At 41.3% G+C, this 27243-nt stretch overlaps 1 protein-coding gene and 1 long non-coding RNA gene across 3 annotated transcripts in view; one reads left to right on the forward strand and one right to left on the reverse strand.

Moving 5' to 3' along the window:
* The window catches only part of RTN4 (reticulon 4), a 165643-nt gene that overhangs the window by 106061 nt on the left and 32339 nt on the right, over positions 1-27243 (reverse strand). Inside the window, exon 2 of the mRNA NM_001321904.2 lies at positions 2240-2390. The gene's annotated coding sequence lies outside the window, so the exon portion shown is untranslated. The remainder of the gene's footprint in view (positions 1-2239; positions 2391-27243) is intronic.
* On the forward strand, positions 1956-8823 carry LOC105374662 (uncharacterized). Of its 2 annotated transcripts, none has more exons than XR_002959387.2 (3): positions 1956-2046; positions 3929-4058; positions 8598-8823. It is a non-coding gene; the product is annotated as an uncharacterized LOC105374662 (long non-coding RNA). The 2 variants fall into 2 exon arrangements; XR_940105.1 differs by having other exon boundaries at positions 1981-2141; positions 8598-8634.

The following is a 27243-nucleotide window of genomic DNA, read 5'->3' on the forward strand; positions in this document are numbered from 1 at the left end:
TTTACTATTTTTTGAGGCTTGCTCTGCTGCCCAGGCTGGAATACAGTGGTGCAATCATGGCTCACTGCAGCCTCAACCTCCTGGGCTCAAGTGATCCTCCCACCTCAGCCTCTGGAATAGCTAGTTCTACAGACATGTGCCAACATGCCCAGCCTAGTTTTGCCATATTATTTTTAAATTGAATAGTATAGATTTAGAAATGATATTCCAGTTCTTCTTCTACATTATAGAGAAGAAAAAACAGTAACAAAAAGTAAATAACTTCCTATGGCTAAATACTTTTTTACCTCATAGGAGACTTTAGCCTGTCTTCCTTTCTTCCTTCCTTCAAAAATTATTGAAAACCTGCTAGTAATACTTGCAAGATACTATCCTGTGAGTTGTGAGCATATAAAATGACTCAAAAATTAACTCTACTTTCAAAAGATTTACTGACAAGTAGGGACAATGTTTGTAAACACAGAGTAAATGTGTTACGTGCTTTAAAAGCGGGGAGAAATTGCTTCTGATTGGGATCATGGAAAGACGGAGAATGTGAAATTTGAGGTTACTAAGAGAGAGGTAGATTTTGAATATGTGGGTGTTTGTGGAGGGAGTATTTAAAAGAAAGGATGATCACAGAAGTAGAAAAACTCAGGGCAAATACTGGGAAAAAAAGGTTCGATTCATCTGACCATCCTTGGGAATAAGGAGAGGAAATGGGAAATGGAAAATAGAGTAAGACAAACGGGAGCCAGTAGACCTCTTAAGAGGCCATGTATTAGGACAGTCCAGAAAAGGGGCCAGGAAGGCCTGCATTAAGCTGGTGTCTTGCAAGTGGCTGTAGTGAACATAGAGGAGGTTGTGGTCACAGAGGTTTGGTGGTGGAATCTAGGATTTGGCAACTGATTGATCTATAAGGCAAAGACAAGGGAAGGGCCAAAGAGGTTGCCAAAGCTTCAAATACCAGTCCCTGGGGAGATGATGGGGGAAACCAAACCAATCTCAGTCTTTATGGAAGCAAAAAGTTATAACAGTGCTAGTGAAAATTCATTGTGCCTGGGTGGTTAACTCACCGTGAAGGAACAAGTGTTATTTCTTCTACTTATTGGAAGGACAGACTGGGCTTTGTTAGGAAGGAGAGTTTTTTTTGTTTTGTTTTGTTTTAAAGTCTGACCACTGAATCTGTCAAGTAACTTAGAAGAGTAAAGGGCCTCAGGATAGAAACAGGGAGAGCAAGGAAAGCACACATGTCAGGTAAAGTGGCAGAAGACGATGAGCTTCAGCTTATGGTCAGCAAGAATACTGGTGCTGTTCCCAAATCTTCTGATCTTTCAATAAAAACTGAAAATCTTCACTTTTTAATGAAACCTCCATCTTTTAATGTTGTCAGTTCAGAGTGTTAAAAGGTACTATACTCATAGGACAAAATGTGTCTGCTGTCAGATCTGATCAGAGACCAGCAATTTTCTGACTCCAGGTATCAGATCATGGGGCAACAGTTCTGGACTCTCCTACATAGGGATGATGCCTAGGAATAAAGAGACCAACAGCCCTGTCTGAATACTGCTGAAATGCATAAACTCTGAAACTAGTACAGCATACTATAGTGGTTAAGAGCACAGACTCCCAAACCAGACTGCCTGGGTCCAAATCCTGGTTCCTTACTAGCCAGGCAGTCTAGTGCAAACTACTCTCTGTACCATAGTGTCCTTAATTTAAAAATGAATGTAATAATACTATGACCTATCTGGTGCAGATATGTAAACATTTGCTAGCATTATCTGTGATGAATCTCTTATTTTGGGGGGACAGGGGACAGGGTCCTCCCAGGCTAGAGTGTAGTGGCATGATCACAGTTAACTACAGCCTTGACCTCCCAGGCTCAAATGATCCTCCCACCTCAGCTTCCCTAGTAGCTGAGACTACAGGTACACACCACCATACCCGGCTAACTTTTTGTATTTTTTTTGTAGATGGGGTCTCGCCATGTCACCCACGCTGGTCTTGAACTCCTGGGCTCAAGCGATCCTCCTGCCCCAGCCTTCCAAAGTACTGGGATTACAGGTGTGAACCAATATGCCCAGCCATATTTTTGATGAATCTCAAGAGAAACGGAAGGGGCACTGCAAAATGACTGATTAGATTTCTAATTATCCGGGGTAGGTGGCAGTCTTGAGCAAAATTTAATTTGATATAAAAAAATGAAATATGACATTCCTTGTATTTGCATATCACAGAGCAAATTCATACCAGTTACCTTGATTCTGTTGTCATATTTCATCTTCATCATATTTCTCTCCATATCCTGTGTCAGACATAATTTTTATACCCTTCTTTAATGGCTTAGTATCTTATTCCTCAGTGTTACTCATATCCAGAATAGTCTTGTTATTTTCGATGACAACTCTCTATTGAAAGAAAAGGGTAGGAAAAATTAAGTATACTGAAACCGTCTTTCTAAGAAAAGTTTTTAAATCTTATTTTACAATATTCTCCCCTTCCTAACTGGGCATATGACCCTTCTGTCTTTTATAAATAGCCAGTAAAGTGTTTTTGCACATTTATACATACATAATACATATCCACAAACTGTCCCATAGACAGGATCTCTTTACTCAAGCTTAATTAAGTTGATTTGAAAGAACTAATTTTACACTATGTAAAGAATGCGCAATCTTTATCTTTTGAAAACCTTTTGGACTTAAAAAGGAAAAAAATTCTTTTGGAAGGAAATGACATTATACTTTTTAAAAAATATTCAGAGCTCTCAAAAGGTACACTGTATTCACTCTCTCTTTCTTTTTCCCTCTTTCCTTCCTTTCTTTCTTTCATTCTTTCATTCTTACATTCTTTCTTATTTTGAAACAGGAGCTCACTCTGTCACCCAGGCTGGAGCGCAGTGGCATGATCACAGCTCACTGCAGCCTCAACCTCCTGGGCCAAGTGATCCTCCTGCCTCAGCCTCTGAAGTAGCTGGGACCACAGGTGCTCGCCACCATGCCCTGCTAATTTGTTTTTTATTTTTTGTAGAGACAGGGTCTCACTATGTTGTCCAGCCTCGGCTCGAACTCCTGGGCTCAAGTGATCCTCCTTCGTCAGACTCCCTAAGTGCTGGGATTACAGGTATGAGCCACCACAACCAGCCTTCACTCTCTTTTAAGCTACTACACACCAGAAAATTAATTCAAAACTTACTCTGTCTAATTTAAATGGCATATATGCAGAACAGCATTATTCATACCTAAATATATATATGCCATTATGAATACTAAACATTTGTGATTATTGCACTACTTGCAAACTCAGAGAATTTATTTATTTCATCCCATTGATTAAAAAAAGAGATATCCAGCCAGGCATGGTGGCTCAGACCTGTAATCCCAGCATTTTGGAGGCCAAGGCAGGAAGATTGCTTGAGCCCAGGAGTTCAAGACCAGCCTGGGTAATATAATGAGACCTCATCTCTCAAAAATTTTTTTTAATTACCTGAGCATGATAGTGCATGCCTGTGATCCCAGCTACTCAGGAGGCTGAGGCTGGAGAATCACTCGAGCCTGGCAGGTGCAGGTTGCATTGAGTTAAGATCATACCACTGCACTCCAGCCTCGGCAACAGAGCCAGACCCTGTCTCAAAAAAAAAAAAAAAAAAATGAGTGAGAGAGAGATCTATCCCCTGCCTTTTTGCTAATCAAGATTGCTAATTCATTTTTATCAAATATGATGAAAAAGAGGCCTTACATACTTCTGCTTTTTTCCCTCATGCTGCCTTTAAATATAACAGCCATTTGATTCTTTCAGGTAGATGGGTACTTTACTTGGTAGAAGGCCTAAACTGAATTTCAACCCTTGACATAGTCAAGAAGCATAAATGTGCAATAATCTGTATAAAGACAGTATCTTTAATCTCTTTACAGAGATTATTTCTAACTGGCTATACCACTTCCAGGTATGGAACAGGCTGACAGAGCTGGATCCAAAGGGCTCAGAATGGAGCAACCAAGGTGTATTCACCTGATGCTTTGGTCTCCCTAAGCTCTTCCATAGAAACGATCATATATCACCTCGGCAATTGTTTTGTAAGTACTCAGAGATTATATCACAACAAAAATGCTATTGTAGATTCATATATCTCTCAAAAGCCAGAGACTTGAGAACAGCCAAATCAGGAGCAGCCACCACAAACCAAACTACCACACTCCCAACATGCTCCTGAAACAGGCCATCCCCAGCAAGCCCAGCCTTGGCGACTGGCCCAATTTCACCCACCCCTGGCCAGGTAGAGACCAATCTATAACACATTTCCAAAGCCTTATCTGTCTATAAGCCTTGGCTCAGTGATTCCACTTAAGAAAATAATCCTAAATTTCTGCAAAGCTCAAGAAAGCAAATATGTATTATGCTAAGTTCTATGCATCATAAACCATGGTAGGTGTTGGAAACAATAAAATTATTGCTTGCCCTTATGAACTTTATAAAGTGAACTGGAAATTTTATACTTCTCATTTACTGAATGCCTCCTATGTACCAGGTGCTCTACTAGGCATTTTATATGTGTTATCTCACTTAATCGTTACAGCCTATAAAATATAAGTAGTATCACCCATATCTCACATTAAAGCGGTTGAGTAATTTGTCCCAAGTCACACAGCTAAGAAGTAGCATTTCTCTGAGACCGCGCCACTGCACTCCAGCTTGGGCAACAGAACGAGACTCCGTCTCAAAAAAAAAAGAAGTAGCATTTCTGAGATTCAAACTCAGGTCTAAAGCTTTTCAAATTTCGTGTTTTACCCACCAAGCTGCATTATATATTTTAAATAACAGTAACAACATCAACAACCATCTAATGTAAACAATAGAGGAATGAGTACATAAGTTAATATCAATAGGTTGGATATGCAGCCATTAAAAGTGATATCTATGACAGTTTGTCACAACACAGAAAATTGCTTGCTTATAAATATAACAATAAAAACAGGATGTGGGGCTGGGTGTGGTGGCTCATGCCTGTAATCCCTGCACTTTGGAAGGCCAAGGTGGGAGGAACACTTGAGACCAGAAGTTTGAGACCAGCCTGGCCAACGTGGCAAAACCCCGTCTCTACTAAAAATACAAAAATTAGCCAGGCATGGTGGTATGCACCTGTGGTCCCAGGTACTTGGGCAGCTGAGGCACGAGGATTGCTTGAGCCTGGGAGGCAGAGGTTGCAGTGAGCCAAGATTGCGCCACTGCACTTCCGGCCTGGACAACAAAGCGAGACTCCGTCTCAAAGAAGAAAAAAAAACAACCAGGATGTGAATTCATATACTATGATTTAAACTATGATTAAAACACATACACACACACGTACTAGAATAAAAAGCACATTTAAAAAAATAGGTAAACCTCCTGCACTTTCACTTAAATAATACAAAATTAAGGGAAACTATAAGGGGAAAAATTGTGTTTTCACATACAATTCAGACAAAACAGTTGACCCAAGCCTATTTAAAATGGGGACTAGATCCTCTTTCCCCTAACAGTTACTTTAAAAATTTCCTCTCATCATCCTATCTTCTGTGTGAAATAAGAAGAAGCATATATTTGGTCTGACCCCAGTTCCTGGCACACAGCTCCTAAAACCCTTGTAATTTCCTGAGCATCTCAATTGCTAGGTGCATTCTTTGTTCTAATATTTGGTCTTTGACCCTGGTTCCTGAAACAGAGCTTAATTCCTTGGAGTTTCTTGGGTTAAAGGAGCACCTTTTGTTCTAATGAGGTGACTCTTCATGGGTTTCTGGAAGGGGGGTGGTCACCAGAAAGACCAACCCATGATTAAAAGTTTGGAACTTTCAGCCCTACTCTGCAACCTCCAGGAAGGAAAGAGGGACTGCATTTGAGTTAATTGTTGATCATGTCTACATGATTAAGCCTCCATAAAAATCCCCAAACTACGGGGTTCAGAGAGCTTCCGGGTTGCTGAAATCATGGAAGGTGGCATCCCCTAAGAGGCCATAAAAGCTCACAACCCCTTCCCCATACATTGCCTTGTGCATCTTTTTCATCTGGCTGTTCCTGAGTTGCATCCCCCCTGCCTTTTTTTTTTTTTTTTAAATAGAGGTGGGGTCTCACTATGTTGCCTAGGCTGGTCTTGATCTCCTGGGCTCATGTGATCCTCCAGCCTGAGTCTCTGAAATTGCTGGGATTACAGGTGTGAGCCACCATGCCTGGCCATGAATTGCATCCTGTTATAATAACAGGTAAACAAAAGTAAAGAGTTCTCTGAGTTCTGTGAGCCATTCTAGCAAATGATTGAACCCCTGGGGGGTCATGGGAACCTCTGATTTGTAACCAAGTCAGACAAAAGGTGTGGGTAATCTGGGAACCTACTATTTGCACTTGGCATCTGATGTTTGGGGCAGTCTCATGGGATTGAGCCCTTAACCTGTGGCGTCTGTGCTGACTAGAGTAAGTGTCAGAACTGAATTAAATTGTAGGATACCCAGTCAATGTCTGCCAAGAAGTGGAGAATTGCTTAATGTGGCCAAAACTCACACATTTTGGTGACCAGAAACATCTGTGTTGTTGCTGTTTTGAGACAGGGTCTTGCTCTGTCACTCAGGCTGGAGTGCAATGGCGCAATCACAGCTCACTGCAGCCTGAACCTCCTGGGCTCAAGTGATCCCCCCTGACACTCAGCCAACCAACTAGCTGGGACTTAAGGCACACATCACCATGTCCAGCTAATTTTTAAAGAAAATATTGTAGAGACTAGATCTTACTATGTTGCCCAGGCTGGTCTTTTACTCCTGGGTTCAAACGATCCTCCTGCCTTGACCTCCCAAGGTGCTAGGATTAAGGCATGAGCCACTGCACCTAGCTCTTTGTTGCTTTGAGAGTATAAACAGTAGGAGAAGACATTTTAGGTTTTTCCTATTGCACACTGTATTAATTAGGGTTCTCCAGAGAAATAGAACTGTGTGTGTGTGCGTAGACATAACAGGAGATATATACACACACATCCTATTGGTTCTGTTTCTCTGGAGAACCCAAACACAGTGTGTAATAGGTGTGTGTGGGGGTGTGTGTGTATATATACATATACACCCACACACACACACATAGAAGGAGAGAGAGGTAGATAAATCTGTTCCAAGGAACTGGCAATTGTGGGAGCTAGCAAGTCCAAAATCTGCAGGGCAGCCTGGAGACCTGGAGAGGAGTGGGTGTTGCAGTCTTCAGTTCGATGGCAGTCTAGAGGCAGAATTTCTTTCTCCTCAGAGGAGCTCAGTCTCTTAAGACCCTCAACTGATTGTGTGATGCCCACCCTCATAATAAAGGGGAATCTGTTTTACTCAAAGCTGACAATTTAGATGCTAATCTCATCTTAAAAGTACCTCACAGCAACATCTAGACATGTTTGCTCAAATAACTGGGCACCATAGCCTAACAAATTCAAACATAAAAATGAATCATATTATAATCCTTCCCCAATCTACATAGAAAAAAATGAATGAGTATTTCACATCCTGAAACACAGGCTCATTCCATCCTTTGATAAACATTATTGAAGGCCTGGCCCCTTTCTAACGTTAGGCCCATTATGAGACATAAATATAATCTCGCTGCACATTTGTTGGATCATAACAAATCAAATCTGTAGCCCCTTAATGTTTACAAAATATGTTCATAAATACATCTTGTGTAATCTTCACAAATCATTATTGCAGTCCTCATTTGACCAAAAATAAGGCAAGAGAGAATACTCTGACACATCAAAGATTGTAGCGTCAATAGGTGATAGAGCCAACAAGAGTCAGATCTTCTGACATTTCTTCATCAGATAGAGCCCTTTCTTCATCACATGGACACTGTGAACAGAAGTAACACAGGTCCTCAAGGATAGCAGCTATTTTATTATTTCCCAATTAATCTACATTGAAAAGACACAAAGATCAAGATGCCTAGCTTATTCCCCTGACTGGGAATATAAAGTTGTAAAACAACTTTAGGAATTGATCACTGTCTACAAGTAGTGTTTAGTTTTGTTTTTAACTTTTATTAAAGTATAGCATGCTAACTCAGATTATAAGTTTACACCTCAATAAATTTTCACAAAATGAATACCCCTGTGTAACTGTTACCAAGATCAAGAAATAGAATATGACCAGGGCTGGGTGCAGTGGCTCGCACCTGTAATCCCAGAACGTTGGGAGGCCAAGGCAGGAGGATTGTTTGTGCCCAGGAATTCAAGACCACCCTGGGCAACATAGCCTGATCTAATCTCTACAAAAAAAAAAAAACATTTAAAAATTAGCCAAGCATGGTGGTATGCGCCTGTAGTTCCAACTGCTAGGGAGGCTGAGGTGGGAGGATCACTCAAGCCCACGATTTCGAGGCTGCAGTGAGCTGTGATCACACTACTGCACTTCAGCCTGGGCAACAGAGGGAGACACTGTCTCTAACCAACATAATAATAATAATTAATAATAATAATAACATCAGTATCTCAGAAGCCCTTTTGGGGCCCCCTTTCAGCCATCATCTTTCCCGCAAAGGTAACCACCATCCAGATATCTTTCACTGTCAACCAATTTTGCCTTTGTTTTCAACTTTAATTTATTTTTTTTTTTTTGTAGACGATTTCTCACTGTGTTTCTCAGAATGGTCTCAGACTCCTGGCCTCAAGCGATCCTTCTGCCTGAGCCTCCCAAAGTGCCGGGATTACAGGCATGAACCACTGCACTCAGCCTGTTTTCAACCTTATATAAATGGAATCCTACTGTATGTGCTTTTTGATATCTGGGCTCCTTTGCTCTATATTATGTCTGTGAGATTAATAAACTTGTTTGTTCAGTTACGTTACTGCTGTGTAGCATTCTATTGTATAATGTACCACAATTTATTCATCTGGTCATCCAACAATTTGGGTGGTTATGTTTGGGGGTACTGTGAACTATGCTGCTGTGAATATGTACCCAAGTTGTGGACCATCTATGTATGTGTTTCTGTTCAGTATATACCTTGAAGTGTAATTGCTGGGTCATTCATCTGCATGCATTCATTTTTACTGGAAACTGCCAAACAGCTTCCTAAGTGGTTGTGCTAATTTGTACAACCACTAGCAGTTGATGAGATTTCCAGTTGTTCCACTCATTAGCTTTTATCATTGTTGTTTTTAATGTTATACTTTTACAACATATGGATATATTCATACAATGTATAACATTGGTTTGCATGTTTTCAAAACTTCATAGAAATGCTACTATATCATGCTGAAAATATTCTACCACTTGTTTCTGAGATTTATCTGTGTTGGTACATATAGTTCCAATTTATTCTCTTTCACTGCTACACACCATTCTAGTTTTTCAAGTCTGAATCTTGTTGATGGCCACTCAGCTTGTTTCCATTTTTTCATGATTATAAATGACACAAAGACTGTTCTTATTCATGTGTCTTTGTACCCATCTGTGAGACTATCTCAAGTGCAACTGCTGAGTCATAGTATATGTATATCTTCAGCTATACTAGATATTGGCAAAATTGCTTTCCAAAATTGTTGTACCAACTTGACACTGCTATAAGCAGCCTGTGAGGGTGTCCATTGCTCCAGATCCTCACCAGTGATTTGTATGGTTGGATGTTTTTTAATGTTTGTTGATTGAATGGGTGTGTAATATCCTAATAACTTTCTTAAATAAGTTTTCCAAAAACTTTATAAATACATACACTTATATTTGCAAAGAGGAAGAGAGGTTCATTCCCCTTCTCTATTCACATAGAGCTGTGGTTGTGGAACCTTAGTGTTCTTTATTTAAGCGGGGCCTGGGGATCTGCCTGACTGCATGCAGATGTCAGAAGACCCTGAGGAATGTTGCCTCAGTGCCTTGTATGCACAGCTAGCACAGTTATCTCAAGTACTTACGGGTTATGTTATCTTCTCCCCAGCTAGGACATGGGCTGCTGGATGGCAGAGACAAATTCTATGACAGTTTTGTATCCTTAGGGCCCAGCCCTCAGAGGAAACTCAGTGAGTATTCATGGACGTAGGGAAGGAAGGAAAAGTGGGAATGACAACTTATTTTCTGTTTGGTCTGCATCAGATCTTAGAGCATCTGGAGATACATAGTTTGTTTATTTAAAAATGCAAAGCACACACATATTCTTTTCTATTAACTGTTAGGGATTTAATAATATTCTTTCATATAAATAATTTTCAACTTGGCCTAATGAATGACATATCAAAGCCTTCCATTTTGTAGTATTTCCTCATGTTTTCTCTCAGGAGGATTACATACTGAATACTTTGGAACAGGGTGCTCCCTGGACAACATACAGATGTATTCATATGATATGTAACATTGGTTTGCATATTTTCAAAACTTCATAGAAATGCTATCATGCTGAAAATATTCTGCCACTTGGCACATACATTGGAGCTTTCCTCCAAAGGGTCTAGTAAGCAAAATACATTCAAAATGATGACGGGGAGTTAGTGAAAGGCAGAAAGAAAAGAATCTTCTGAAAGCAAAAAAGCAGAGATGGATCAAGGCAGAGGGAGGAACACAGAAAAGGAGAGAGGAGACTGAAAGGTGAAATTTATCCAACAGTGGGTTCATTAATTAGGAAGGGCTCCTCATTAGACAACATTATTTACAGGGCAGTTTATTGGTCTCCCATCCTCTGGCCAGACTGACAGCACAAGAATAGGGTTATTTATTTATTTATTTATTTATTTTGAGATGGAGTCTCGTTCTTGTTGCCCAGGCTGGAGTGCAGTGGCGCGATCTCAGCTCACTGCAACCTCCGCCTCCTGGGTTCAAGCAATTCTCCTGCCTCAGCCTCCCGAGTAGCTGGGACTACAGGCGCTCACAGTTAATTTTTGTATTTTTAATAGAGATGGGGTTTCACCATGTTGGCCAGGCTGGTCTTGAACTCCTGACCTAAGGAGTGCTGGGATTACAGGCATGAGCCACCGCGCCGGGCCAGAGTAGGGCTATCCTTAGGACTCTTTTAACTAAGGATATCACAGAAGAAGAGGGTTGAAAAGGGCTGAACCCTAGCATGTAATCTATAATTAACTTGAGCATCAGTATGAATGCTAAAAATCAGTACAAGTATAGCCAATGTGGTAGCAAGATTCCTCCCCTCCCAGGACAGCACTGTTAAAGCCTTCACTCTGGGCTAGAGCAGGGTCTCTGTTCTGGTTTGAGGCCACCCTCCTGAATGTGACTTGTCTACTTCTACAGTTCTTTCTAGGCACATCCCGTTTTGGTCAGCCCAGCCACTTTCCGGCATGATCTGCCAGGTAATTAACGGATTTATCAATTACGGAAAAATCTGTCTCCTTGTCTGGATGTACTTAAAATTCAGCGTTTAAGGGACAGAGACGTCCTGCTCCAACTAAGTGAATGTTGTCAACTGCATGTCTAGTGCTTTAGCTATTTCTGTTTCTAGTCGTCATTTCCCAAATCTGCGAAATGCAAACACTTGAGATACAAGCCCACCTCCAAAGCAAGGCCATTCTACAAATTGCCTTCTTCTGGCCACCACTCTTCAGCACAGCACTGTGGTCCTTGTGCCTGGGGAGGAGGTCTTATTCCTCTCCTTGTCACTGGCCTCTCCAGGCATGTGGTAAAAAGGTCCCCCTGGGACACCTGGGGCATGGAACATTTTCCCCATTACTGAGATCACTGACTGACAGCAGCAACTAGACTGACTCCCCTCCCCTGGTCCCCACCCCAAGCAGCTGTCTGAATGTTAGAATAGGCACGAGGAATTGTTAAAGTTGAGAAAGGCTTACTTTTCATGAAGAACACATGTTTTCTAAGGAGAGATTTATTTAATGAAAGTCTTTTTTTTCTCCTGAGTCTTTGGTAGATTTGAATTGTAAAATAGATCTGGGGCTGTTTTGAGTAGGATGGGGCTGTTTTGAGTGGAAGGATAGGGCTGGAGTGGAGACAGCTGAATTCCTCTACCTGGAGAAGTCCAGTATCTGCGAATAGGAGGTATGATAAGGCCATAGAACTATCCCCAAATGTCCCCTAGGTAGAGTGGCCCAAGACAGTTTAAAACAGAGAGACCCAATATTCCACTTAATATAATTTGGGTTACAGTATTACCTTCACACTATTTCCAAACACACACGCTCACATCTGCTTCCAGCAAATCTTTAATGCAGTTCCCTGCACACTCAATATCTTGACTGCGTATGGACATAGAGAAAGTGGCTGAATTTCCTCTCTGAGAAGAGGACGTCATGGAGGAAGAAGAGATAGTCCCTAAACGGAGCCAATTCAACCAAAGCAGAAGCTGGAGCTACAGAAGGCAATGAGAATGAAGTCTCCACCTCCCCTCTATCCACCTGGAAGTTTCGCCAAAATCATCTCAAGAGCTTGAGAATTCCATGAAATATGGAGTAGGGCTTTGGACCCATTCTAAAGGACAAGGAGGACTACAGCTGATGGTTCCCAAAGACCTGTCTTCCGCACTGACCCAGGGTCCAATTGCTCATACAATTTCTCCTCTTAGATATCTAATAAGTAACTCCCATTTAAAATGGCCAAAAACCAAACTCGGCTCCACCCCCTAAACATGCTTCTCCCTCAGTCTTTTCCACCTCAGTTACCAGCCCCACATCCACTCAGTTGCTCAAGCCCCAAATCTACGAGTCATCCTTGGTTCTGCTTTCTCTCATTCTCTCTATCCAGGAGATCAGCAGGCCTTGTCAGTCCCTCCTCCAAGACACATCCCAAGTTGACATTTTTCAACTTCTCTGCACATCTCCATTGATTCCACCCAAGAAGTCTCAGCCACCAGTCCTCAACTGAACTCCCAGTTTTGCTCAACTGGCTAGAGCAAAAACCTCCCTAACCAGTTGCCCTGTCTTTCCTCTGGCCACCAGTGGCCTTTTCACTACCTGGTGGTAGCAGCCAGAAAGGGGTGTGTCTGTGTATAAATCGGACAGTATGGCTCCACCATTTACAATCATTCATGGCTTCCCATTGCAATCCAAATTCCTCTCTGTGGCCTAGGGGGCCCCACGTGATTGGGCCGTGTTTACCACTCTGACCTCTTTCTTCCTCCATTCATAGGGTGTCATCCACACTGGGCCCTTTCTTCCCACATACACATAAAGCTTCTTGCCTCAGAGCCTCCGTACATGCTATTTTTCTGCCTGGAATGCTTTTCCCTTAAATTTTCACCTGTCTGCCCCAATCCCTAAACTTCTAGCCCCTGCTCACTCTCTACCCTTTATCTTATTTTCCTGTAACACTTACTTGTTGCTTGATTACAAATTTTTCATCTTCCTGTCCTCATTAGAATGTAAGCTCAGGCCAGCTGCAGTAGCTTGTACCTAGAATCCCAGTACTGTGGGAGGCCGAGGCAGGAGGATTGCTTGAGCCCAGGAGTTTGGGACCTGCCTGGGCAATATAGCAGGATACTGTCTCTCCAAAAAGAAAACTTTTTTTAATTAGCCAGTGTATTAGTCTGTTTTCATGCTGCTGATAAAGACATACCCAAAACTAGGAAGAAAAAGAGGTTTAGTTGGACTTACAGTTCCACATGGCTGGGGAGGCCTCAGAATCATGGCAGGAGGTAAAAGGCATTTCTTACATGGCAGCGGCAAGAGAAAAATAAAAAAGATGCAAAAGCGGAAACCCCTGATAAATCCATCAGCTCTCGTGAGACTTACTCACTATCACGAGAACAGCACAGGCAAGACTGGCCCCCATGATTCAATTACCTCCCCCTGGGTCCCTCCCACAACATGTGGGAATTCTGGGAGACACAATTCAAGTTGAGATTTGGGTGGGGACACAGCCAAACCATGCCAGGCTTGGTGGCACATGCCTGTAGTCTCAGCTACCTGGGAGGTTGAGGTGGGAAGATTGCTTGAGTCCAGGAGTTTGAGGCTGCAGTGAGCTGAGATGGCACCACTGCACTCCAGCCTGGGTGACAGAGTGAGACCATGACTTAAAAAAAAAAAAGGAAGCTCAATGAAGGGAGAGATTTTTTTTTCTTTTCTTTTTTTTTTTTTCGAGTTGGAGTTTCCCTCTTGTTGCCCAGGCTGGAGTGTAATGGCATGATCTCAGCTCACCGTAACCTCCACCTCCTGGGTTCAAGCAATTCTCCTGCCTCAGCCTCCCTAGTAGCTGGGATTACAGGCATTCACCACCACCCCTGGCTAATTTTGTATTTTTAGTAGAGACAGGGTTTCTCCATGTTGTCAGCCTGGTCTCAAACTCCCAACCTCAGGTGATCTGCCCACCTCGGCCTCCTAAAGTGCTGGGATTACAGGCGTGAGCCACCGTGCCCGGCCCGAAGGAAGAGATTTTTTATCTCCAGCTCCTAGAACACTACCTGGCAGAAAAAAGTGCTCAACACAAACTTGTGGAATGAGTATACCTGAGTTTCACTTGTTTCCTGCTTGCCCTCTGTCAGAGGCCACACCCAATTGTGGCACCTGGTAAAAGCCTCACTCATTAGAGTTTTGTCATTTAACTCCTTCCTGTAAGCCAGGTAAAACTGACCACATATATATGTAGATGCCCTTTTCCAATTTCAGTTTGGGGGCTCCCCTGGAGAAAGCAGAGGCCTCACACTAGAGCTAGAAGCGGCCCCAGGAAAATTCACATGGGGTGAAGTTTTATTCTTTCAAAGTAGCCAGTTTTGCCCCTTCGCATTTTCTTCTTCTTCACAGACATTTTCCCAATGGGTAAAACTTTTTTGTTTGATTTTAAAAATTCACTTTTTCACTTATCTATTCAGTGTTGCTTACTGAGTTCTGACCACTAATAAAAATAACCATTGTGTGTGTGTCTATGTGTGTGTGTACGTGTGTAAAATATCAGAAGATAAGAGCCTTGCATTGTTCTAAGAGCTGCTTGAAAATGTCTGTGTTTTGATAGCTTATGATGCACATTCGTGGGCCAGCCAATTATAGTGACAGCTCTTTAATGAAGAAATGTCATACACATTAATATAGAATTTGTATTTGCTCTTAGTAATACCTGTAAGTGCCTAGTTCAACAGTTTTTGTGGTTGAAATGCTAAAAAATACAACTGAAATGCTGTTGAACTCTAAATGGCTAAATGCATGTATACCTGTATGTTGTTTTATTTACAAACACATAAACATATGTGTGTATTTTATACTTAAATAATTTATTCTATATATATTTAATTTATTTTATATATATATAGAATAAATTAAGCAATAATGTCCCTGGGCCCAAAGAAAGTATTCTTCATTCTCCTGTTACGCCAGAAAGGTGTTTATTATGCTGAGGGAAGTTCTTGCACTCATAACCTCTAAGTGATTCCGCAGCATAGCTTAGAGGTGATGCTTCTTCCGGAGGAAGCCCTGAGTCATTATCTGCATCTTTCCTGAGATCTGGAGAGTACAAGGGTACCAACACCTCTCCCTCCACGAGGCCAGGGGGGATTAGGAAAGAGTCAGAGATGAAGGAGAAAAGGAGAAGAGAAATTGGTAAGAGGAAAAAGGGTAAATGTCTCAATTGTTTCCTCCTCTGATTACAGCCAGAGGAAGGCAGTCTGAGGGCCCCTTAACTAACTCCCTGTTAAGGTCTGGCAAGGATATAATGCATTTCATTTAGCTATGCTTCTGTTACTTGAATGGTTTGCTTTTTCTAAGGGAAATAGAATTGGGAAAGGAATTATAAGGAAGAGAATTTTCTTGCTTTTATTCTATTTATAAATGGAATATGAGAGGGACATGGAAATAGCATGAAAGAGTCACAATTTTCTTACGATCACTAATATCCTACACTAATGTATCTGGGTGGCAGAGCGGATGGAGCCATAATGGTGTTTGTTATGGACTGAATCATGTTCCCCCAAGATTCATATGTTAAAGCTGCACCCTCAGTGTGATGGTATTAGGATGTGGAGCCTTTGGGGGGTAATTAGATTTAGATGAGGCCCTGAGAGTAGAGTCCCCATGATGGGATTAGTGCCTTCTAAGGAGAGATCTCTCTCTCTCCACCACATGAGGACACAGTGAGAAGGCAGCTGTCTGCAAGCCAGGAAGAAAGCCCTCACCAGGAATCCATCAGCACCTGCATTTTGGGCTTTTCAGCCTCCAGAACTGTAGGAAATACATGTTTGTTGTTGAAGTCACCCAGGCTGTGCTATTTTGTGACAGTCGCCAAGCTGACAAAGAGAGTGTTTTACATGAATTAATTAAGCAGATAATTCCTGAGCATCACTAGCACTCTGGGTACTGTTGCGCAGTGAAGTATAGAGCAGTGACCAATCAGGTGAGCTTCTGCTTTCATGGGACTTCAGTTTGAGTGGGAAAATACGCCACATACCATAAACAAGTAAACAGACAAGTAAATATTAGATAGTGATAAGAGCCATGAACAAAACACAACAGAGCCATGCTATGTGGAGTGACTGGGGAGGGGCTACTTTAGATCAGGTCATCAAAGGAGGCTTTCTGGGCAGGGGACATTTGAGATGAATGACAAGGAAGAGCTGACTAGGAGACAATCTGGTGGAAAACGTTTGAGGCACAAGGAACCATGGTGCTAACATCAGGTCTATGTAAGACTGACAGTTACCCCTGAGTTAGGTCAAGCAAAGAATGAAGTGGACTTGAGACAGGCTTGAGTGTTAATACCCAAAAGTGAAAGCAAGAGATGCACAGCAAGAAATTCATATAAGAAACTTCAGATTTTGAATACCAATGAAATAACCATGGTTTCCGAGTGACCTCCTACTCCACACAAGTCCTCCTCTTGTATTTCCCGTATTATCGCCATACTCCATCCACACAACATGCAATATCCAAATACCATAATAAGGCTGGGCGCGGTGGCTCACACCTGTAATCGCAGCACTTGGAAGGCCGAGGCAGGTGGATCACCTGACTTCAGGAGTTCGAGATCAGCCTGGCCAAAATGGTGAAACCCCGTCTGTACTTAAAATACAAAAATCAGCTGGGCAGTAGAGGCATGTGCCTGTAATCCTGGCTACTTGGGAGGCTGAGGCAGGAGAATCGCTTGAACCTGGCAGGCGGAAATTGCAGTGAGCCGAGATCGTGCCACTGCACTCTAGTCTGGGCGACAGAGTGAGATCCTGTCTCAAAAAAAAAAACACAGACAAAAAAACCCAAATATTATTATGAGGTTAATCACATCATCATCTACCTTCAATTAATTTTTGTAAAATAATTTTAAAAATTAACATCTTATATTTGTGAGGTCCATTTGTTATAATTGATGAACCAACCAATGTTGATACATTATTAATTGAAGTCCACACTATTCAGATTTTTTTCTTTTCTTTCAGTGAAACCCTGTCTTACTTTGCTGCCCAGGCTGGAGTATAAGTGGCTTAATGAGGGCTCACTGTAGCCTTGACCTCCCAGGGTCAAGTGGTCCTCCCACCTCGGCACTCCCTATCTCCCTGCCCCTGACTCCCCTAAATAGCTGGGACTATAGGCACTCGCCACCACACCTGGCTAATTTTTAAATTTTTTTTGTAGAGATGGGGATCTCACTATGTTGCCCAAGCTCTATGCAGATTTCAAATGCCCTTTTCCTGTTAGGATCCCATCCAGGATACCACATTGCATTTAGTCATGCTTTCTTAGGCTACTTTTGGCTCTAACAGTTTCCTAGACTTTCCCTGTTTTTGCTACCTTTGACAGTTTTGAGCAGGGACTGATCAGGCAATTTGTAGAATGTCCCTCACTTGGGATTTATCTGATGCTTTTCTCCTAATGGGACAGTGGTTATGGGTTATTGGGAGAGAGACTACAGAGGTAAAGTACCATTTTCATCCCACCATATAAGAGCGCATGCTGGGCCGGGTATGGTGGCTCACGCCTGTTCCTAGCACTTTGGGAGGCCGAGGCGGGTGGATTACCTGAGGACGGGAGTTCAAGCCCAACCTAACCAACATGGAGAAACCCCGTCTCTACTAAAAATACAAAATTAGCTGGGCGTGGTGGCGCATGCCTGTAATCCCAGGTACTCAGGAGGCTGAGGCAGGAGAATCGCTTGAACCCGGGAGGCGGAGGTTGCTGTGAGCCAATATCACACCATTGCACTCCAGCCTGGGCAACAAGAGCAAAACTCTGCCTCAAAAAAAAAAAAAGAGTGCATGCTACCACCAGGACTTATCACTGCTGATGCTGACCTTGATCTCTTGGCTGAGCTTCCAAGTGATTTTTGATTCCTCATTCTCCCATCCCTGGAATCTATCATTCATCAGGCCTCATCTAATATATCTCTCAAGGTTCTCTCCCAGAACCCACTCCTCATCAGCATTATCTCCACAGTCTCAAGTCTAAGTTCCCAGACTGTTCTCAGCATCCTGCACCACGTTATCAAAGCTCTAATCATAGCCTTTCTCTGGCTAAATAATCCCACTTAGGAATAAAACTTTTGTCTTAGTTGGAAGTTAAGGTCCAAGGTTTTCAGTGTTGCTTTGGGGTCTTTTTCTCAATCTGAACGCAAGCTACTTTCCAGTTTTGGCTCCTGCCCTGAGATCTGGGTGCCATGCTAGCACTCCACCACACCCTCTGCTCATTCTGTCATGCTGCAGCAGTTACTGTTTATTAAGCTTCTGTCCTGTGCCAGGCAGCTTTCTGGGCCCAGGAATACAAAAAATACGAAGAAAGGCTTCCCTACACTCAAGGAATGAGGTGTAGTTGGAGTGACAGTCATTGTAAATGGATAATTGCAAGGTTGTTAGGTAGATGCGAGGTATTTATTTGGGCATGTACAAATTTTAAAGGGAGCAACTAGGCCAAAGCCCCTCACTGTGGCCCCAGTACTTAGGGGAGATTATACTAAGATAGTGATATCTGAGCAATGATTTCAATAAAGAAAAAAGTTCACCAAGCAGACAAGAGGCCAAGAGAAGTTCTAGGCAGAGGGCACAGCACGAACTAAGGCATGGCCACTAAGCAATTTAATATGGAAGTATTTGCAAAAGATGAGTAAGAGCTAAATTGTGATAAAGGAGGATTGCTTGAGCCCAGGAGGTCAGGGCTGCAATGAGCCCTGATTGTGCCACTGCACTCCAGCCTGGATGACAGAGTGAAATTCTGTCTCAAAAAAAAAAAAAAAAAATTCCTTGGCCTCAGTCCAGACTCAGAATCAGAATTTCTGGGGTTGGGGGGAAAGCCTGGTAATTCTGCATTTGTAATCAAACCCCAGGTACTTCTTGTAAAGAAAGCTTTGGAACACTGGTACTCTAAGAGAATAATAGAAAACAAGATCAAAACAAGAAGAAACTGGAGGCAGAAAGAGCAGTTGGAAGACACTTGCTATTGCCCCAGAGATGGCAAAGCTTGAACCAAGGAGACAGCAGTGGGGGAAGGAGGAGGGGCAGCTTCAGGAGGCCTCGAAGAGGCAGACTGTCAGAGGTAGAGCTGCAGACGCCACCCAGGCCTCTAAGGATTCTATCTTGAACACTTTCATAAACATTGGGAATATGAGAGACGGAATAGGTTGCTGGGAAAGATAATGAGCTCAGTTTTGGAACATGTTGACTTTGAAGTGAAATCCATAATGAAGAGCTGACACTTGAACAGGCTGTTCTGGAACTCAGGATAGAGGTCAGGGCTGGAGATAAGGATTTCTGAATCATTTGAATCACCAGTGTATAGGCAAGAGCAGGAAAAGTGAAATTCCCCCAGGAAGCAGGTGGAGTCTGAAGGGCCAAGAATGACATATGGAAGCCTTCAGCACTCCCGCCCCTCCTCATCAACCTTCAGCCTCATCTTTCTCCTCTGTGCCCTTCCCCCAATCTCTTTTTCTACCTCACACAATTTTATCAAAGGCCATCTCCCAGCTGTTACTATCCTAGATGGAATTAACCTCTGCACTGTGCTACGGTATTTCTTTGTACTCCCTTTATCACATCTCCAGTCATTTTAGATTAGGGCTAGTGTTGTCCCATTTTCTTTTTCACCTGTTAGAGGCAGAAGTATGTCCGGATTTCCAGTACCCAGCACAAAGCTGGTGTTTAGTAAATGTTTGTGGTCTTGTGGTGGAGATTTAAGGATTATTCATTCATTTGGACTTATAATCCTAGTGTCTAAAGTAAAAATATCTTTCTTTGATCAGAAAGAGTGTATACTTTATGCAACCTAAAACTTAGGCACTTAATTTTTAAAAACATTTTATTATAATAATTTAAAACCATTATGTAGTAACAGAATAATAATAAACCTCCAAATACCCATCACCCAACTTCAATAATTATCAACGCAGGGTCAATTCTCTTTTATCTTTACTTCCAACTCCATTGCATATTATTTTGAAGCAAATGCCAGAGAACATATCTTATCAGTAAAAGAGAAGAGTTTTTTAAAACCATAATATTATCACACCCCAAAAAAATAACAATAATCTCTTAACATCAATATCGAGTCATTGTTCAAATGACCAATTTTCTCATAAATGCAATTTCTTTTAATTTTAAAAAATTAAGATCCAAATAAGGTCCACATGTTGCAATTCATCAATATGCCTTTTAAATCTCTTTTAATCTATAGGTTTCCCCCTGAACCCCCTTTCTTGCGAATTATTTATTGACGAAATCAGGTCATTTGTTCCGTAGAGTTTCTCATAGTCTAGTTTTTTGCTGCCTTCATTCCCCCAATGTAGTGCAACATGTTCCTCTGTCCTCTCTATTTTCTAAATTGGCATTTGGAACAAGAAACTTGGTAAGATTTGAATTTGCCTTTTTGGCAAGACTTCTTCATGAATGGGTGTATTCTTCCTTCATCCATCAGGAGGTCCGTACTGTTTGGTTGTCTGTATTCTTGTTACGTTAGCAATCACTTCTCCTTAAGGCCTAGATCTATTAGTTCTTTAGAGGCCATAGAAAGGGGACTCTATTACTCCTTTGTTGTTTAGTGGCTGAATTAGTTCTTTAAACAAGAACTTCACCTCATGCACTATTTAGTTACTGGGGCATACAGTTCATATAAGGAAGGCAGAAAAAAATGGTAGAATTTATTTACCGGTTATCAGTTCAATAATGAGTTGCCTCCCAATCATCTTCTAAACATGACCAGTTTTTTGAGCATCATTATGGACTCATAGATTTAAACATATTTGAGATGTTTCAATCTATTGCTGGTATTATCCCTACTGATGTCAAAACTGTGACACCTTTGGCCATTGGGAGCCTCTTTAAGTTGGTTCTGCTGTCCTTTTGAGAATGACCCTGTAGTCCTCAATAGCTTCCTCACTACCTATATGACAAAGTGCTTCAGGGATCCCTTGTTCATTTCCTGCCCTAGACCTTGACTCAGCCATTTCTTCAAGGAGCCTGGCTCTTTGACATGGGAAATGGTATTTCAGGACATCAATCAGGGATTTGGGGGTGCTCTTTGCACCTGGGTTGGCTAGAGACTGACTTTAAATTTTTGAATTTCTCAGACATACTAGTGGCTAAAAGTGCAGGTGCCAGAGGTAGACTGTCTGGGTTTGAATCACCACTCTGCCACATATTATGTATGTGACACGGTGCCAGTTTACCAACTTATCTGTGCTTCAGTTTTTCTCAATTGTGAAAAGAGAATAATAACAGTAGCTAAATATGTAGAATCCTGTAAAGTTTAAATGAAGCGATTCATGTAAAATGCTTAGAATAGGGCCTGGCACATAGGGCTGTGTAAGCATTGACTATTATTATTCTTATTACTAGTCTCTTTCCAGCCTCATCATTGTTGCCTGCTTACACTGTGGGTCAACTGATATGCAACATGGACTTACATTTTATTCATATCTAGTGACATGCTGACTTATTTTAGAGAACTAGTCTAAGTTACATCTGCAACATTTGTCCTACTAATCTGCTACTTTAAATGATGCAATACTTGCACATATTAGAACATTTCCTGTAAAGGAATCCAAATTCAACAAAACAAATGGCATTCATAAGGTCACCAAGCACCAGTGTACTTTCTGCTTTTTATACTTGTCTGGAAAGGGGTAAATTAGCAGAAGCCTGGCTAGGAGTGACCCCACTACGGAGTTAAGGTCTTACTTTGCACTGGGGGCTTGGACAAGCCACATTCGTCTTGTCTTTCCTAGTTGAACACAGGGAGCTATTGGGGTGGCATTCCCCAAGCCCTCCAGATCCCTTTCTAATCAAACTGGTAGAATTACAAGACATATCCCAGATCACATAAATCTTAATGCTGGTTCTGTCTGGAAGCCCATTCATATTATGAAATCTTGATCTATTCAGCCATTTGCCATAATTCTTTCGTCAGGTTCGAGGAGTTAAGATCTCAGCACTGCTGCAACTGAAGACAGTGAAAGGGAAGCAGCAGACCTGTGGGCTGTTTCCTTGGTGGTCCATTAGACCCCAACAAAGCCTCAAGGTACATCTTCTCTAAACCTAAAAACCCTACGGAGCTCTAACAAGAACAGTCTCTAAAGTAGTTAAATCAAAGTTTATTTAAAGCAAAGGCATTTGTTTATCTGCAATTTTATATACTTGCATTACTGACATATAATTGTGCTATCATTGCATCAGCCATGCCAAGTTTTCCACAGCTCACTGGCTAGAAATTCTCAGGATGCACTAGGGTTCATTTGTGCTTAAACAAAAATTTACTTGCTTGTTTTATTCTTTTCTTTCTTTTTTCTCTTGACAGCACTCTTAGCATTTTTTTTTTTTACTCTTACCATTTTATAAAAATAGCTGTCATTAGATTACTTGACACTTAAAACACTTTGGATTAAAATGTAATTTTAATCACATATTTGTCAAGAGGAAAGTGTGAATAAATAATGGTAAATTTATGTAATAGAAACTATTAAGCCACTAAAATTATAAAATGTATTTTGAAATCTTGACATAGAAACATGAGAGAACAAAAACAAGCTCCAAACAGTTTGTATAGTAGGATTATATTTTAGTAAAATAATAATTATTTTACATGTTGGCATATGCATAGAAAAAAATCTGAACAAACAAGTTGTTAATAGGGATTATCTCCAGGGGTGAGATTATCATTGTCTTTTCCTACATATTCCTATAGTTTCTGAATTTCTTATGAATACTTATTACTTTTCCAATCAGAAAATGTTTATTTTTTTGAAAATCAATGTTGTTGTAACTTGTTCAGAAGAGTGAAATAATACATTATCCATTGTAATAATAATTTTAGTGAGATTTCTCATGGTAGCTTCTCAGGAAATTCTATAATACTAATAAGTTTCTGTAAAAATTGAAGTTATTAATACAATAACTGAAGTATTGAAAAACAGTATACTTAGTCTTCTCAGAATCCAAAATGATTTGGTGTATATTTTTATATATATGCAAAACCAAATGGAATTTAAAACTTTGAAATCTTTAGAACAATCAACAAACCACTTTCATTCATTAAGCATGCATTTCTGCTACATAGTCTGTGCCAGGCAATGTGCTAGGTATGCAAGTACCAGCTACACAGAGATGAAAAAGATCAACCCAATTTCTGTCCTCATATGATGGTATGAACCAGCCCTGTGGATATCCTGGAGCATAGGAATTATTAATTAGAAGAACTGCTGCATGTGAATAAACAATAAGCAAATTAATTAATTTTGTATGTTAAAGTGAATTTTTCACTACATAAGAGCTAAGTGACTGGAAAGATTGTATATTTCATCAGCACATTCAAATTTCACAAAATCATCACACACTGTAGGATATATGTTCAAATATATTCACACCTCCAAATCAAATATAAAAGAAAAGGAAAAATAGAGTGAAATCTTATTATTGTTTTCTACTGATATTTCACTTTTAGATGTGACATCTGAAATCTAAGACAAAAAAAGGCTTCTGCTTTTATTTTGAATCATAAAGTTAACAAGTCCATTTTTAAAAATCATGAGCACCAAATTCCTTAAAGATGAGATATTGTTATTTCATAACTTTCCATCCAAATCATGCCTAAATCATTTTTCAGTTCTTTGGAGCAGATGACGATTAAGGGGGAAAGGGAAGGAGGGATCAAAATGTTCACTTAAATGGAATTTAGTTTGTTTTTGTAAGGCTGAAATCCCTTGAAGATGGTATATAAACTACTACTTTAGGCCAGGGGGTAGCAAACCTTTTCTGTGAAGGGCCAGATAGTAAATCTTTTAGGATTTGTGGACCATGGACCATGCTGTCTCTGCCAAAATGGCTCAACTCTGTTGTTTTACGGCAAAACAGCCATAAACTACACATAAACAAAGGGACATAGCTGTGTTTCAATAAAACTTTATTTGTGGACGCTAAAAATTTTAATGTTATATAATTTTCACATGTCATTTTTCTTTTGATTTTTTTTTAATCATTTAAGATGTGAAATTCGTCCTTAGTTGGCAGACCTCACAAGAATCTGGTGGCTGATTGGACTTGACACATGGCCAACTGCCAGTCCCTGCTAATAGGCCAGTGCATGGTGCTTGGGATCTGCTGCTTCTCTTTGGTCCTGGTATTGAAGGGTAGGAGGTAGGAGAGGAGAATCCAAGAGATTTATAAAACAAAACTCTATAGATTTTCTAAAAACAATTTGTAAGACAAAACTCTATTGTTTTTCTAAAGACAATTCAAATCTCTTTATTAATCTAAGAAGTTACTATCGTGGCCGGGTGCGGTGGCTCACGCCTGTAATCCCAGCACTTTGGGAGGCTGAGGCGGGCGGATCACCTGAGGTCGGGAGTTTGAGACCAGCCTGACCAATGTGGAGAAACCCCGTCTCTACTAAAATTACAAAATAAGCCGGGCATGGTGACACATGCCTGTAATCCCAGCTACTAGGGAGGCTGAGGCAGGAGAATCACTTGAACCCGGGAGGCGGAGGTTGCAGTGAGCTGAGATCACACCATTGCACTCCAGCAACAAGGGCAAAACTCCGGAAAAAAAAAAAAAAAAGGAAGTATATTTTTAAAAGTTTATAAAACATTTAAAGAAACAATGAGTTTTAAAAGGATGCACCTGGAGAACATTATGCTGAGTGACATAAACCAGAAACAGAAAGATACTGTATGATCTCACTTACATGTGGAACCTAAAAAAGTCGAACTCAGGGCAGAGAGTAGAATTGTGGTTACCAGAGACTTGGGAAAGGGAAAAATGGGGAGATGATGATTAAAGGGTACAAAGTTTCAGTTATGCAAGATAAATAAGTTCTGGAGACCTATTATATAGCATAGTGCCTATAGCTAACAATACTGTATTGTACACTTAAAATGTGTCCAAGAGGGTAGCTCTTATACTGAGTGTTCTTACCCATACACACACAAAAATTAATAATATTAATAATAAAGGGGCTGGGAGAAAACTTTAGGAGGTGATGAATATATTTATGGTCTTGATGGTAGTGATGGTTTTATGGGTATATACTTATCCTTAAACCCACAGAGCTGTGTACTTTATTTTTTTCCCTCTTTTTCTACGTCTCACAGAAGACTTCTATACAGTTGTATACTTTAAAAATGTGTAGCTTTTTTGTTGTTGTTGAAACGGAGTCTCGCTCTGTTGCCCAGAGTGGAGTGCAGTGGTGCAATCTCGGCTCACTGCAACCTCCACCTCCCGGGTTCAAACGATTCTCCTGCCCCAGTCTCCCAAGTAGCTAGAATTACAGGCTCCCACCACCACACCCGCCTAATTTTTGTATATTTAGCAGAGATGGGGTTTCACCATGTTGGCCAGGCTGGTCTCAAACTCCTGACCTCAGGTGATCCACCAACCTCGGCCTCCCGAAGTGCTGCAATTACAGGAATGAGCCACCGCACCTGGCCTATGTGTAGCTTTTTATATGTAAATTGTACCTCAATAAAGTGTTTTTTGTTCTTTTTATTCACTTATTTATTTTGAGATGGAATCTTGCTCTGTTGCCCAGTCTGGAGTGCAGTGGCACTAGCTGGGCTCACTGCAACCTCCACCTTCTGGGTTCAAGCGATTCTCCTGGGTCAGCCTCCCCAGCAGCTAAGATTACAGACACGCACCACCACACACGGCTAATCTTTTTTGCTTTTTTTTAAGTAGAGACAGGGTTTCACCATGTGGGCCAGGCTGGTCTCAAACTCCTGACCTCAAGTGATCCACCCACCTCGGCCTCCCAAAGCACTGGGATTACAGGCGTGAGCCACCATGCCTGGCTGTTTTTTAAATTTTTGAGACAAGTCTTGCTCTGTTGCCCAGGCTGGAGTGCAGCGTTGCGATCTCAGCTCACTGCAACCTCCGCCTCCTGGGTTCATGATTCTCGTGCTTCAGCCTCCCGAGTATCTGGGACTACAGGCGCATGCCACCACATCTGGCTAATTTTTGTATTCTTAATAGAGACAGGATTTCACCATGTTGACGAAGCTGGTCTCAAACTGATGGCCTCACGTGATCCACCTGCCTCAGCCTCCCAAAGTGCTGGGATTACAGGTGTGAGCCACCGTGCCTGGCCTTGTTTTTATTTTTTAAGGGCAGCTCTGAATGAAGAGACATCCATTCCTTCCTATTTTTCTTGCTGAGCATTGGGAAATAATAATTTTTTTAAAAAAAGAAACTTCCTAGATTAATAATGAGAAGTAGTATCTGTTTATTGTTTTGTTTTAGTTTTTTGTTATATATGTCTTTTGAAACAGAGTCTCATTCTGTCGCCCAGGCTGGAGTGCAGTGGTGCGATCTTGGTTCACTGCAACCTCAACCTCTCGGGCTCAAGCGATCTCCCCACCTCAGCCTCTCAAATAGCTGAGACCACAGGAGCATACCACTACGCCAGGCTAATTTTTATATTTTTTGTAGAGATGAGGTTTTGCCATGTTGCCCGGGCTGGTCTCAAACTCCTGAGCTCAAGCAATCCACTCACCATGTCCTCCCAAAACGCTGGGATTATAGGCGTGAGCCACCTGGCCCTGCTCATTGTTTTCATTAGCATTTCTTTGATTACTACTTATGTGAACTTTTTCACATTTTTAGGCCTTCCATATTTCTTTTTTGTGAATTACTCATTGCCTTCCCCCCTTTTTTTGCTATTGAAGTTTTTTTTTTTTTTTTTTTTGAGACAGAGTCTCACTCTGTCACCCAAGCTGGAGTACAGTGGCACGATCTTGGCTCACTGCAACCTCCACCTCCCAGGTTCAAGCAGTTCTCCTGCCTCAGCCTCCTGAGTAGCTGGGATTACAGGCATTTGCCACCACACCCGGCTAATTTTTGTATTTTTAGTAGAGATGGGTTTTCGCCATGTTGGCCATGCTGGTCTCAAACTCCTGATCTCAAGTGATCTGCCCACTTCAGCTTCCCAAA

This window comes from Homo sapiens, chromosome 2 (assembly GCF_000001405.40).
Source record: "Homo sapiens chromosome 2, GRCh38.p14 Primary Assembly".
NCBI lineage: Eukaryota > Metazoa > Chordata > Mammalia > Primates > Hominidae > Homo > Homo sapiens.